We start from the raw sequence: 16366 nt of genomic DNA on the forward strand, positions 1-16366 counted from the left end.
GAATATGCTTACCATGTCTCTAACACAAATAACAGCCCCCCAGGATGTAACTACCAGTTTCAGTTGCTGGAACTGAAATGAACAATTCAGTAGTGTGTGTTTTTTTTAAGTATGTTTAAAAATTCTTTTTTCGGTGTGGAGAAGGAGAGCATCAGGATAAACAGCTGATACACGCGGGGCTTAATACCTAGGTGATGGGCTGATAGGCGCAGCAAACCACCATCGCACCCATTTACCTATGTAACAAACCTGCACGTTTTGCACATGTATCCTGGAACTTTAATAAAATTAAAAAAATAAAAATTCTTTTTTTCTGCTAGCCTTGAGGAGCAAGGTTTGAATTATACCCCTTTCAGATGTAGAATAAAGATCAATATTGTTGTGTAGGGCACTTCTCTGCCATTGTTAATTAAATCAATGAATTATCTAATGTGGTTTTTCCAGTTCTTTGCTGTGTCCAGTAATTCCATACCTAGGATGTCTATTTAAAAAAAGGATGTTTTCTGGAACTCCTAAGTAGAAAGGCTGTCATATATATTCATTTATTAGGGTTGTCATAACAAAATATCCCAGACCAGGTGGCTTAGACAATAGAAATTTATTTCCTCGAAATTCTGGAGGCTAGAAGCCTGAAATCAAGGTGTCAGCAGAATTAGTGTCTTCTGAGAACTCTCCCCTTGGCTTGCAGATGACTATCTGCCAGCGTCTTTATATGGCCTTCCTCCCACTGGGTATGTCTGCGTCCTACTGTCCTCTTTTTAGAGGGACACAAGTCATATTGGATTAGGGCTCATCCTAATGCTTCATTTTAACTTCATTACCTCTTTAAGGCTTTGTATCAAATACAGTCACATTCTGAGGGGCTGGGGAGTAGGACTTCAACATATGAATTTTGAGGGGACATAATTCTGTCCATAATGTAAGACCAGGTATAAAGAAGCCTATTGCAAGCCACAAACACAGAATTTGACTAAGATGTATTTATTCAAATTCCCACTATGTGTTTTACTAGCTGTATGTCTTTCAGCAGCTCACTTAACCTAACTGCAATTCTAATTAGTCATGTAATAGTCATCCCTGTCCCAAAAGACGGTTGTGAGAATCACGTCTAATTAATAACTGTAACTAAAAAGTGTGTGTGTATATATATATATGTATATATATATATGTGTGTGTATATATATATGTATATATATATACATATATATGTATGTATGTATGTGTATATATATATGTATGTATGTATGTATATGTATGTCTAGGACAGCATCTGGCTTGTAGTAATTGCTCAATAGAAGGGGAGTGGTTTATTACCTCTTCCTCTTGAATTTGGATCCAGACTTTAGTACATTTGGGAATTGGAAGATCAACAAGTCAGTAAATATTGGTCACATGAAGAAGGGGAAATAAATGAGCATTATTGAACTATAATATATTGAGTCTTCTTATGCACATAGTAGGCCAAAAGTTTTGTTTTTTGCATAAGATCTGTAGATTCATTCATTCAATATTTATTGTGCATGCAATATGTACCAAATACAGAAAGCAGTCATCTCACCTACTGTATGGAGGGCTCTTCTCACAGCTGATACTCAGTCTCCTATATTTCTTGTAATAGATTCCCTGGGACTGGGGAGTTTCTGCGAGACTCAGAATTTAAAAGGTGCCTCAAGTCGAACTACTATTATTGCAGTCAGAACTGTTTTTGCTCTCTTCAGGAACAGCCTTACCTGTGTTCAGGGACTATTGTGTGGTATCATGCTACTGGTCTACATTACCAATTCAGCTATTGCAGCAATTACATGAAGGAATTCTTGCTAATGATAAAAGCCATTATGCAGTTCCTAAAGAGAATGCATTCCACAGCATTCATTAATTATGCCAGCCTGTAGATGCACAACTACCACGGCATACACTTGAGACCACACACCATAAGGATTGAAACTCTCTCAAAGCCACAATGTATGTCTGTGTTGCTTTGCACTCTTACATTGCCCATCCTTTACAACAGCCCTTCTCCTGTCCTTCTGATTCCTAAAACTCAAAACCAGAATGAAGTAAGGCTACAAAATGTCATTTATGGGGATGGGTGAGGCTTAAGTCTCCTGGAACCATCTTGGGTCACTCAGCTCTACGGAAGACCCCCCTAAGACGGTCTAGACCCAGAGTCATTCTCAGTCACACAGTAGTTAAGAATTCTTCATCCTACGGTATGCCCTCTCTAGAAAAATAATCGTAATGATGGGAGATGGGACACAGTGATAAATCTTTGATGTCTTTGTTCATTAGTTTCCTTATCTCTCTCTCTTCTCTCTCTTCCCCTACCCCATTATTTTCTCTTTGACATAAACAGCCAACATCAGATGATCTTGTTTCATCTGCTGAATGTTCAAGTGATGATGAAGACTTTGTTGAATGTGAGCCGAGTACAGGTAGGTCAGGTCAGTCTTATTTTGCTTGCTTTCTTTTTTCTTTTGCAAAAAACAATACATACATATATGTGATTATACATGTGTTTTATATATAGATTATAGTGTGTTAATGTGTGTATATTTTTATATCTATATATGTATAAGTATACATATATAAATATTATATCAATGAAAGCATCAAATCCCATGGAAAGAGCAATAAGATCCTACAAAAATTAAGTCAGTCTCTTGATAGCTAACAAAAAATCATGGTATATGACTTAACATTGGGCAAGCAGATGCCCAGACTTACCACTGGAGCAGCAAATGTGTAGGAGCCAGTGGCAGCTATGAAATTCACAGAGGGTGGGAACATGAGGAAATATATGTTGGAATGACATCAAGAAAGGATGAACCCATGGAGGAGCTTAAAGATTGGTAAGTGGAGCCATAAAGATTGGTAAATGACTTAAAACTCATGAATTATTCTGAGCTAAGAGAACCAAAAATATATGTATATATATATTTTCCATGGGATTTCAACAGCAGTTAACATGGTATTATCTTTGTACTAATTTTGTTAACTGTGTGTCTAGAAAACTTGTGCAACAATATAGTAAACACAAAATTAGTGCTGTACCATGCCGTGTCAACAGCTGTGATGCTTCAAAATGTATCTACTGTGCTGAAGTTGAGAAGACTTTAGCAATCAGAAGCTTCAATGTGTTCCCCATTTGGACCCAGATACATTTTGATGTTTTATGGTCTTTCTTTATAGTGAGCTACATATGACCTAATGTCCAGCAGGCAATTGCAGTCCCTGATTATTTCCTATCAACTTTTCCCAGTTGTCTGTTTTGAGACTTACTATAAGTTAAACGTTTATATGTATATAATAGAGAACAGATATCATCGAATTTCTGTGTATGTTTAATAGAATTAATAGCTGGAGTTGGGCCAGGATCTTATTTCTGTGAAGACTAAAATAAATAGAATTTTCTAGTTATTTTTTGCATTGCTTTCAGATTTTTTTCCTTTTAAGAAAAGGAAAGCCATTAAAAATTCTCTTTTGCTAATTCTAGAAAATTTAAGCTTCATGAAAAAATAATCTAATAAAAATAAAAACCTTCCATTTCTGACCCCTAAATGATTTACAAGATTTCAAATCTGTTGAAGCCTGACTGCTTTGGTTTCTTGCAAGTGGAATTGGATCCAGGAAGTTCTGTGGGTTCATACCCTTAGTATGACACAGGGACACATCATTAATATGATAGGGCTTCCATTCTGGAGTGTAATCTGTTCCATTGGGAGCTCAGCTGTGTGGAGGGAAAGTAAATGTGATCTGGTCAGGGCTTTCTTTTTCATATTTTTAGGTAATAATCTGTATGTGCTATGTGAGGTTTTAACCCTAAAAGGGCAGATACATCCGAACTATACCAGAACTTGGGTGCCATGTTTTCATTAATTTATTCATTCATTCATTCAATAAATATTTTTGAGCACTCAGGCAGGATACAATATATCTCTAGATTTGAGTCCTTCCTATTCTGTTTTTTTTTTTTAAGAAATTAGCTGTCAGAGAATAGAATAGTTTTGCTATCTAACTCCTCGCGTAATTCAATTCAACAGATATTTTTGAGAGTCAACTGTATATGTTAAGCATGTGCTAGATATTAAGGGTTCATATATTAATAGGTCACAATCCTCAATACGTACATTAAATTAGCTTGTTTTGTGGCAAACCCTTTAAGAAATCTAGGCTTTAATTTTATATATATATATATATATATATATTTTTTTTTTTTTTTTTTTTTTTTTTTTTTTTTGAGATAGGGTCTCACTCTGTCACCTAGGCTGGAGTGCAGTGGCGTGTTTATAGCTCGCTGCAGCCTTAAACTCCCGGGCTCAAGTGGTCCTCCTGCCTGAGCTTCCCAAGTAGCTAGAACTACATGCACCACTATGCCAGCTAATTTGTTTTATTTTGTGTACAAATGCGGTTCTCACCATGTTGCTCAGGCTGGTCTCGAGTTCCAGGCCTCAAGAAATCCTCTCGCTTTGACCTCCCAAATGTTTTTCTTCCTTTCTTAGCAGTGATATCTCTATATGCAGCAATGTTTATCAAATCTGTAGATTTTAAGGCTTATCAAAATTGAGGCTTGGTCATTCTGAAATATTATCACCATCTTTCCTCAACTACTCACCCTGCCTCAGAAAGTCATCTCCACAGCAACATTCATAATAAGGCAGTGGGCTTTTCCAGATCTCAGCTTCAGATTCTCTAGCTCTGTAGCTCCCCAGTTTATGGGTATATATTGCTATTTGTTATGAGACTTGAATAGCGTAAACCTGAATGGCCCCAAACTAAATCCATTTGTTTTCTAGAGGCCACGCAGGTATTTTCTCTGATTCAGAAGCAGAGGACAGAAATTCAACACCAACATTTCTTGAATAACATGGGGTGGGTGGGGAGATACAGTTTTTAGAACAATCTGTTGTGTTCTGTAAGGGAGCATGAGAGGAGATAAAGTGAGTGACAGAACCCCTACCTTTAAAGAGTGAACATGTAGCTCTAGGAGGCTGATATTGATTTCCTCCACCTGTGATTATTCAACTCATCACATTTGAAGAATGAGCATTGCATTTTTCTAATTTTATTTACTCCATAAAGTATTCCTGGTGAGTGATTTGGATATACAGGGAAATACGTCAGTGGTATATTTAATACAAGAAGTAGGTAGATATTCCTAGTAATGCAGAGAGAGAAGAGGTTTGCCCAGAGGACCTGATTTCCACTAATGGGGATTACCTGCTTAGAGCTATCAAGCCCTCTTTTTCATTACATAAGAAATATCTCCTCAGAAGTTCAAGACCAGCCTGGCCAAGAGGGTGAAACCCCGTCTCTACTAATAATACAAAAAATTAGCCAGGCGTGGTGGCAGGCGCCTGTAGTCCCAGCTACTCGGGAGGCTGAGGTAGAGAAGTGCTTGAACCCGGGAGGCAGAGGTTGCAGGGAGCCAAGATCATGCCACTGCTCTCCAGCTTGGGCAACAGAGTGAGACTCTCTCTCAATTAAAAAAAAAAAAAAAATATATATATATATATATATGTATGTATGTATGTATGTATCTCAGGCTTCACATTTTCCAAAAACAATACAGATTAAAATCAGAAATCAGTTTCTTGGGCAAGATTTGCACTGCCTAAAGAGAAGGGACCTACTGCCCATGCAGCAACAGATAATGGTGACATTTACACATCTTTGACATAAATTGCCAATCTTGCAATTCTACATTACCACTAAGATTAAAATTCTGGTTTTGAACACCCTAATTCACTGCCTCCATTTCTAAAACATTTTTCCAGGCCTTTTGCTTGATGGAAATACACTAAATTTGGCTAACTTCCTTGGCCTTGTTCTATCATACTTACTACTTTATCTTCTTTCACTTTGCCAGCGAGTTTATTATTTTCTAGCTGTCTCCGTTTATGAGGCATTTAACTTCTACAGGTTATTTCCTGATTAATTTACATCCATTTGAAGCTCTCACTTTTCATAAATTTGGGTAGTTTAGTGTGTGCTATAATTCAATTTTTATTTTCATATGAGCATCAAATTTTAAATGAAATAATTTATTTTTTCTTCAAATCACATTGGATTTTTAAACTGCTGGTTTTGAGTTAGTTATAAGCAATCGCCTTTCACTCTCAGAACTTACTTTTGTGCTTAAGGGTCACCACGGTTTGGTATAGCTTAATCTTATTATATTTAGGAACAAGGTAAATATTTTTGGAGTTTGGTCAATAGGAGTCTAGAAACCTTGCAAATCCAATGGAAGTCAAGTTTTCACGGTATATTTTTGCTGGTAAATATGTAGAGAAATTTAAAGAAATCCCAAATCATGAGAGCAAGGCATAAAGTAAAAGCTCAATTAGGATTTGTCGACTAAATTAGTTTGAAACAGAACTTTATATCTCTAACTTCATTTCCCCTTTAACAGCTAAAATTAAACCTATTGACTCATTTAAAATTTATGATTTCATATAATAGGGCTGCCCTGACAAAATCTATATTTTTAACAAATTTGTTTTAGAATTTTTATTTCTTTATTTTGAGACTGGGTAACAAGACTGGCTAACTTTTGTATTTTTGGTAGAGACAGGGTTTCGCCATGTTGGCCAGGCTGGTCTCAAACTCCTGGGCTCAAGTGATCCATCCACTTCAGTCTCCCAAAGTGCTGGGATTACAAGCATAAGCCACTGTGCCTGGCCAAAACCTACATTTTTTTTTAACAAAGTTATTCTCTGCTTTTTCCTATCCCTACCTTTTTCTGGGAACTAGATTATTTTATAAGTCACAGATACAATCACATTTTCTGAATATTTGCTTCAAGAACCCAGAATTGAACCTTTAAACAATAAAGTTATAATAAAACCATCTGCATCAAATGAAGATATTCAGAAGTGTATCTGAATAGCTATCTAGAGGCGAGGGTCTGGATTTTAACTCGATTTGTAAATGTTAATTGTGTTCTTCACAAAACAAATCAGTATCTAATACTTTAGATTCGTTCTTTGCATATAAACTGTTTCATTCCCAACTGCACTTCTATTAATCTTAAATTGTGCAGTAAATTCATATTTCATTGTCCTTTTTCTCTTTGAATCCAAGAAGAAAAACGGATGAGCTGGAGAGCATTCAAATAACCCCTAGGAAAAGGATACCCTCATGAGATTATGGAAGCCAAATAGCAATTAAGATCATTAGTAAATTCACATTTGTAATCTAAAATGTGGGAATGAATTCTGAAATTCAGAGAAAATAATACAATTCACTTCCCATTTCTTCTCTTTCCCTTACCCCTGCTGCTATCCCTAGAATTCCCATCTTTGGAAATAGAGTAATAGTGAAAACAAATGTATTCTTGGATGAGCTTTTGTATAATTAGATATGATCAACTTCCTGGATTTTACATTTTTATAGTTTCAAGATTCTAAAAGTCTTGGGGGCAGGAGGCCACAGAGCAGAGCGAAAAAAAAAAGTAATACTTTTATACCTAATAAGTGGGCATGGCAATACTTAACCACATTGATTCATCCAGTCGTTATCCAGGGGTATATTTTTCAGTTTGTCAAGTAGCTAGTTTTTCTGCCTTCACTTTTCTTAAATGTCCTTTGATCAAATCTCAAGGGACAGCACTTCCACCAGAGGGCAGACAGTAAAAGGAAGTGAAGATGAAACACATCCATCCATCAATAAGACTGTGCTAAGCAGCTTTCATAATGGTTGGGAAGGAGATGTTTAAACTAATGGCAGTAATATGAGATGACAAAATAATTGCTATTCCCAGAGTGGTTCTCAGGTATATTTTTACTCCTCAAATCTACAATATTCACATTTGCATTTCGGTGTTACTGCTACTTAGTTCCTCTTTGTTAGCCCTACTATAATATACAACCCAAGCTGAGTGAAATTTAAATTTGGCATAACACCAAGATCACATCTAGTATTTTCCAGGTGGAACTGGATTCTTAATCTTTATCAGTCTGAGATGCCTCGGGAAAGTATCATCTGAAAATCTGGCACTGAGTTACTAAAAGCTCACCAAATCATTTTACTTTTTATTTGCTGGAACATGGTAGAAAATGCAGCTGAAATGTTAATAGATAATAATAATTTTCCAGTGAAGGATCAAGAGAAGTTTATACCAGAATTTATAGATAACAAGTAAATGTGCTGATTGTTGGCCTTAAATATGATGTTTGAAATCTTATAGAGATACGTTTTGTCATTTGTGTCTTTGTCAAGTTTGAAGTTAGCAACCTGTATGTTTTTATTACAAATAAGTCAATTTTATTTAACTATTTATTCACTTTAGATTTTTCTATATGAAAACTCATTAGCAAATAGAATCATGTTAAAATTTCATTAGTCAATGGCTATTCAGAATATAGTACAAAAATAAATGTCCAAGTAAAATCTCATAGGAATGTTGGAGTATGACAGATCTATAAATTCAATGGTCTGTAAATGCTATAAATTCTGATAAAAGGCTCAGATCCACTTAAACACTTTGACCAAAGAGATAATGGAAATAATCTAAGATAAGCATTTTAGCTTTGGAAAGAGAACTGTATATCGATAGAAAATTACTTAATTTAATTCATTATTATTGGCTGTGGACATCAGTCATTTTAAAATTTGAGTTACAATACATGTCTAATGCTCACAAAAGCAAATAGTTGTTCACATACTTAGGTCTAGGCTAAATCATATCCATTTTTCAACCGCCTTCATTGATCTATAAATGAATATAGTATGTTCATGGGAGTATAATGTTCCAGATTAATGATACAGTTTTTGTCTTTGTTAACCCACCAAGTTATTTCACTTTCTTTTCTTTTTTCTTTTTTCTTTTTTTTTTTTTTTTTTGAGATGGAGTGTCACTCTGTCGCCCAGGCTGGAGTGCAATGGCATGATCTCGGCTCACTGCAAGCTCCGCCTCGTGGGTTCACGCCATTGTCCTGCCTCAGTCTCCTGAGTAGCTGGGACTACAGACGCCCGCCACCACGCCCGGCTAATTTTTTTCTATTTTTAGTAGAGACGGGTTTTCACCATGTTAGCCAGGATGGTCTCAATCTCCTGACCTCGTGATCCACCCACCTCAGCCTCCCACAGTGCTGGGATTACAGCCGTGAGCCACCGCGCCCGGCCAGTTATGTCACTTTTTTATAACAGCCCCAACCCAACCCAAGTTATTTTTTAAACCATTGCAGTAACTATGTGCTTTTAAAATCCTTAATGGTGAAATGCTTTGAAAATTAGGGTAAGAACAGAAATATAAGAATAGGAAAGATCTACTAATTAGCTCTTGCACTTTAGGCTGAGGAATAGTGTGCATAATATATGTGGCCCATAGATCGACTATTGTGGATTTCATAACAAATATATTTAATAATAAAAAAATGAAAAAAATTCTATCCAACTCCATTACCCAAGATTTTTTAGTAGGTTGGAGAGCGAGGCAGGGGAATCCATAAAATCAATGTATGAGTGTATATACTTCTATCTGAAAGTTTGATAAATCTCTTCTATATGTAACACTTTTGAGTAACTATTACATGTAGGCACTAGAATAGGTGCTGGGAAAACAAAAGTATTTTGCTTCAGAAATATCGCTTCCAGAAGTTCAGTTTATTAGGAAAGGCAGATATAATAAGAGGAATAAAAGGAAGGGAAGAAACAATGAGGACAATGAATGGAAATGCCCACGATATTATCAGCACCCTAAGGATGTTGGAGCACTCCAATTCAGTGAACAGCATACCTTATCAGGGATATGCAAGAAAAAAAAAATCACACAAGATGATGCCAAGCAGTGACAGATTCAACTAACCCCAAGGAGCATTCTTCTGTATTTTAGTTTGGTGACACAGAATTCTCATTTATTACGATTGAAGAATTAGTACAGTTCAGTAAAGTAAAAAAGCAACACTCTTTTGGAATTAGTACAGCTCAGTAAAGAAAAAAAGCAACACTCTTTTGGGGACTTCACATATACAGTATGGTCAAAGGCCACACCGTTTTTAGGTAATAGGGTAAAGGATGGACATGTTGAAGGGAGAATTTCAATCTGAACTCATGAGAACTTCCTGATTCCAAATGCCAATGCAAGTGGTACATAAGGAGTGAGCTTAATGACATCATTAAGCAAGTCCCCCAAAAATAAATAAAGAGGGATTGGGTTTTAAAAGAGAAGTTTTTATGGGATTTATTCTTTTTATTCTACATTTTTCTTCCATAAGCCCCAAGTATATGTACTGTGTGTATATATATATATATGATATGCACATATGCAAATAATATACTGCCTGTCACTCCATATATATGTAGACACAGTATAAGTGATATTAGACTAATGTAACCAGAGATTAACAGCCCCTACCATCAGTCATGTGTTTACACAGAAATTCACACCATCATTCTTAACCAGCATCAGCCAACATAGACATGCATGATACTGTTTTAACTTGGCAAACAAAGCATGTTGATTTTTCTTTAAGATTTCTTTATCATAATTATAATGCTGACTCCATAATTCAGTTATCCTTGGGAGGGGTGGAAAGAAAAAATTATACAGATATATCTATCCGTATATGCACATTCCTGTGTATATATATAAATAGATATATACCTTGTATATATTTGAAGAACATTTTGTTGTTTCACCTCATCTTGTGCCGCATGAATTTTTGGTGGTTCAATTTATTTTGTTTTCATATTTACTATTTTGATCATTATGGCTATTTTTAACTCATTGCTATACTTTTATGAGTAACTATAATCATTATTTTCAAATACTGAGAGATATATAGATATACAAATCAAACAAGGCAAAAAAATCTTTTCTTGCCATCCTAATCTCAAATTCCTCCCCTTTCAGCATATCCCTCCAGTATTTATCTCAAAACAAAACAAACCCCAACGAAATCCAAGAAAGTTGTGTACAAAAGAATGAATACTGTGTTTTCCTCTTCCTCCTTCTATGCATATTTTTCCTTTTAATTTCCGTTTCTTTCCTTTTGATTTACCCCCATATCTGCATGGACCACTTGCCTTTACTTTCCCCTTTATGACAATGTAATTAATTGAAAAGATAAGAGTCAGAAAAAAATAAAAGAAAAACACATAGAAATGACAGAGAAACACACCCCTCTCCACAAATTTCAGATGGCATAAAAAGAATTTTATTGCAGATATAGAATATTTGTTGTATCTTTTATTTCTGTCTGGACAAGCCCAGGATCATTGTGTGGCATGCCGTGACAAGTTTTGTAGCGCATCAACTAACCATGGCCTCCATCACAAGTGCATGACACCATCTTGTGTTTCATCCAAGTGACACATCTAGGCTAACCCAGCAAGTCCAGTGTATGAGTTGTGGGAATTACATTCTTTTGTAGTTATAATTTCATGGGTCCTTGTTTTTATTATTATTTCCATTGGATCATGACAGCCCTAAGAGCTGCTCTCGCAGCATCTCTGTATGGTTTTGTTCTTGTGTTTTCTTTTCTTGGCACAGCAGTCAAGCATGTGTCTCTTGTTTGGCACATCTGTCTTGCCATCTTGTCTTGTCCACTGTCGTGGTGTTGTTCTGTGATTCTGTTCTCTGTAAGATGTGATTTGAAATCCTCTGCCTTTATTTCTCACTCTCCTATTGTCTCTACTTTTAACCTTACCCCTAGGGAACTTCACAAAGAAGCAAAACAAACTTTCAGTCACATTATAAGGCTGATCACTGGTTTGCATCTGGAAGTCATAAGTTGTACTTTTTACCTGACTTAAGGAGGAAAAACTTACAGTGGGAAACTACTGATAATTATACTCAAACAGCAAACTGATCAACGACAATAAGAAACCCTTGTTGATTATTTTTGGTATGATTAAATGGGCTTACTGTTAAAGGGACTTCATGTAAGATCTTATTTCCAAAGAGTTTTTTTCATAAATTATCAGTCTTCTAGTCAGAAACTTTTCTTCAGGAGCAGATCAACGGAAGATGTTTTTCGGGAATTGTTAGTGAGGGAGCATCATTTCTGCTGTGTAGAACAGTGCCTGTTCCTGAATTGGGGAGGAACTTTATGGAAATCTGCAAATGTTTTATTACAAAATGCATTTATGTTTATGTATTAAAATATAAATGTGTTCAGCAAGGCATCTGAGGATGGGAAAAAAAAACTTTTTAACTCACTGGTTCCACCTCATGCATATTTTGAGGTAAGATTATCTTTTGATCTTTCTGAGTCAACTGATATACATTTTACTTTTTTATTTTTTAATTCATGGAAGCATTAGAGAGCCAACACTTCAACTTTGACCTAAATTCATTCTTTTCCCATTCCAGAGAACACGACATACATAATAGCTTTAGTTCTGAGAATAGAGTCTGAATTTGAGACAAACGTAGAAGGAAGTGCCCAGTTAATTATCCAAATGTTGGACTCTACCTGTGATTATCCAGGCGATTTGATGCTTTACTTGGAAGGATTTGATTAGTTGGATACGAACAGCATGAAAATGACACTTTGTAACAACTTTCCCTCTTTAAGGGTTGAGCACGAGAATATCAAATAGGTATAAAAATGAGTAATAGGTGATATATTAATAGATTAAAGATTATTCAATAGGCCTAAAGATTTCAGATGAAAAATCTGTATTTGTAATCTGAAAAAGAGAAAGCATATCCAGACCTGTGGTTTTCTGATGAGATCTTTCAGTCAGGCCAGGGTAGCTATTGGTTTTTCTTAAGGGTAAGGGGAAAAAGGCCAAGGATGAGGAACTGGATGGCTCTGTGGACTAAGAACAACTTTCTGATGAAAGAAGGAAGGGAAACAAGAAAGGCGAAGAAAGAGGAGGAGGGAAATGTAAAAGAAAGGAAGGAGGAAAGGAAGAGATATTGATTATGAGCCAGGTAAAGCTGCTTGCTGATAAATATTTTAAAACCAGCACACACACAGAGCTCTAATTTGCAGTTTTCCAGTTTCTGTATGGTGTAAAATATTCCCACCATGGCTGATTTCTAGCTACCAATATGACAGCCCTAAACTCAGAATTGGGAAGTGTCCTTGCTCGTACACAATTATATGGCTTTTTCATCATACGTACACTATAGACGTCAAGAACCTCATAGATAATAGTAAAATTTAGTAAAATAATTAGGAAGTACCGAGTTTTAAGTTTTTAATTACCTGTTTTTAATATACTTGTAACTTTATATATATATTAACTTTTGAAAATGGCCATGTTTTAACAACCAGCTTACAAATTTCCTAGAAATTTTGCAATCAGTTGTCATAAACTGGCTCAAGCACACCACTAGCCCAGGTACTATACTGGGTACATGAAAACATAGTATTTTATTTAAATCTCATTTTAAGTTATTGTGAGATAAAAACTAGCTTGGTCATCTTACAGTTGAGAAAATTGGGATTTTAAGTTTGCTTGTTCAAGGTCACATACCTGCACATAAATGGTAGAGGTAATATTCAAGTCCAAATCTGTTTGAAAATAGACATTTTCTTTATATTACAGTGTGCCAGTCATTCTTTCAACACTTCTCAAAGTACTAAGTTATCGAATTTTGACACGCTCCTTTGTGGAGCTTAGCATGACTCGGGTTTCCCTATTGCCTCAAGGAGGTCCTTGGCTTTAACTGTCTTAGATAAAATGGAGTTTAAATGTATTATGGTTGTGTCAATGGCAAAATGAAGACAGTGAAGCAAAATTAGAACTCCTGATTACTCTGTTTGTAAATGCCACCAAAGTTATGACCATGTCTTCATGAGAATGTCCACTTTGACTAATTTTGTTTCCTCCAAATATTCCTCTTTTACTAACATTGACAATGAACAGGATATTTCTTAGGTTTTCATATTCTGTCCCTTGAGCTTTGGAAAGACTATCCCAGATACATTTTCTGAGCACATAGAATCTATAGCATGATCCCATTACATAGTTAGGTTTTATAACTTTTAAACTCTAATGAATTTTATTTAGTTACAGTATGTAATGCATGTTAATTAACCAACTGCACAGTGAAATATGTCAATGTCCTTTGCTTCCACATTTTCTAATAGAGTAAGCTAGTATATTAACATTTAAAACAGCATGAGAACCATAGTACTGCAGAAAGCAACTGCAGTTTTTAAAAAGATGATTTTATTGTAAGATACTTAATCATTGCTCTGTAAAAGAGTTTGAGAGGCCTGGGAATTAAAAAGGAAAGTGTTGCAGCTTTTTAGTCCTTCTAATTTGACAAGATAGATAATTTGATTGGGTTTCTGATAGTGCAGTATTTTGCTTTAATTTGGTGTGAAGTTTAGTTGCCCCCATAATTATTATTATTTTTTTTTGGTCACTCTGTCACCCATGCTGGAATTTAGTGGCATGATCTCAGCTCACTACAACCTCCACCTCCCGGATTCAAGCAATTCTCCTGCCTCAGCCTCCTGAGTATCTGGGACTACAGGCGTGTGCCACCATACCCAGCTAATTTTTGTATTTTTAGTAGAGACGGGGTTTTACCATGTTGGCCAGGCTGGTCTTGAACTCCTGGCCTCAAGTGATCTGCCTGCCTTGGCCTCCCGAAGTTCTGGGATTACAGGTATGAGCCACCGTTCCGGGCCTCCCTATATAGTAAACTTTCGATGGCAGCATACACAACATTGAATAAAGTCCTTTGAAGTGACTTCTAGGCTTTCTCCTATAGGTTTGCCACTGCTACAACTTTGTTTCATCATTCAGTGAATATTAGCACTTCCTTTAGTGAAATATAGTCTTAAGTACTTCACATTGTTAACTACTTTAATCCTCACAGCAATCATGTGAGAGTCTATTCTTATTATCTCCATTTTAAAGATAAGTAAATGGAGGCACAGAGGAGCTAAGCAAATTATCAAGGTCACACAGCAAGGAAGTAGAAGAAATGGGATCTGAACCCAAGCCAACTGCCCCCAGCGTGGACACCCATCACTATGCTATCCTGTCTCTTACGTAGCGCTTATTTTCCATTAACCTAAATATACGAAATAGCTGCCGGCCTCCTTGATAATAAAAGAAAGTCTGTGTATTGAATGTATTACATGGTTGGGAAGTAGTTGATAAATGGGTTAGTTATTATGTATCAAAAAGGCTTTAACAATCTTGGTTGATGGGGGTTATAAAATTGTTCCATTATGATTTATTCAAATAACCGTGGTTAAAACAAGTTACCCTGGTTTCCCATAAGGAGGAATGACTCCAATATTGGAGAGAAATACCAACACTTATGTGAGGTGAGTCTCCCTTGATGTCACCTATGCAATAATATGTGCACTTGGGTTTTTTTTTTTTTTTTTTTTTTTTTTTGAGACGGAGTCTCGCTGTCACCCAGGCTGGAGTGCAGTGGCGCGATCTCGGCTCACTGCAAGCTCCGCCTCCCGGGTTCACGCCATTCTCCTGCCTCAGCCTCCCGAGTAGCTGGGACTACAGGTGCCCGCCACCACGCCTGGCTAATTTTTTGTGTTTTTAGTAGAGACGGGGTTTCACCGTGGTAGCCAGGATGGTCATGATCTCCTGACCTCGTGATCCGCCCGCCTCGGCCTCCCAAAGTGCTGGGATTACAGGCGTGAGCCACCGCGCCCGGCCGCACTTGGGGTTTCTAGCTCATTATTCATGATCAATTCTGTTCAAAACATATGCCCAGACAACAGCCACCTTTAACTGATGTTAGGAATCTAAGGATAGAGGCTCTTAGCGAGAGCTTGGGTTAAGATACTGCATTTTCTTTATTTCAGAAATAAATATGTTCCTTAGAACACAGTGATTTAGGTGTTACAGCTAAAAGAAAGCAAAAAACAACAACAACAACAAAACGAACTTGTATTTCTTATCTTAGACCCTTTCTGACACCCACATGCTCTTGACATCTCTTAAAGTTGTAACTATTTGTTTATCCTCCCTTTTTCCTCACTTCCTTGCATTATGCATCCAAAACTATTTTAAAAGCCAAAACACACACACACTTTTTGTGGGTCTTTGAGTTTCCTATGCAAGAAAAGAATCTTAAAATGAGTTATAAAGAACTAAAAATCACAATTAAAAAGGAAACATAATTTTAAAACTGTGTTTGCTTGTATTATAATCCTTATTCCAAGGCAAGTATGGCCTGCACAAACATCTGAGGATTCCATTACAAATTATATCAGTCTCAACCCATCCCGAATCCAGATCATAAACTCATAAACTGGAAAATGTGTATAGTTGAAAATGTTTGCATACCCTCTGTCCTAGAGCAGTGCTTCCATCTTAGCTTTGAAGCACAGAGACCTCCTCTTACTAAAAGATCATGAAAACTGGCAATACTGTATTGCCCAGTGTTAAAATTTGTCAGATTAATTACCCAGAGCCAAAGTTAGCA

The 16366-nt window shown here is 36.3% G+C and overlaps 1 protein-coding gene across 56 annotated transcripts in view; it reads left to right on the forward strand.

Moving 5' to 3' along the window:
- The window catches only part of NRXN3 (neurexin 3), a 1697919-nt gene that overhangs the window by 1632386 nt on the left and 49167 nt on the right, over window positions 1-16366 (forward strand). For 34 of the 56 annotated variants that reach the window (NR_158973.1, NR_158975.1, NR_158974.1 and 31 more), the window contains one exon: window positions 2354-2432. Coding sequence is in view for 49 of the 56 variants with exons in the window: in XM_005268218.4 (XP_005268275.1) it covers window positions 2354-2432 (79 nt within the window). In the remaining 7 variants the exon portion in view is untranslated. Of the gene's footprint in view, window positions 1-2353; window positions 2442-16366 lie in introns of those variants that run through there. The other 22 variants (NR_073547.2, NR_073546.2, XM_011537363.2 and 19 more) reach the window with 1 other exon arrangement.

This window comes from Homo sapiens, chromosome 14 (assembly GCF_000001405.40).
Source record: "Homo sapiens chromosome 14, GRCh38.p14 Primary Assembly".
NCBI lineage: Eukaryota > Metazoa > Chordata > Mammalia > Primates > Hominidae > Homo > Homo sapiens.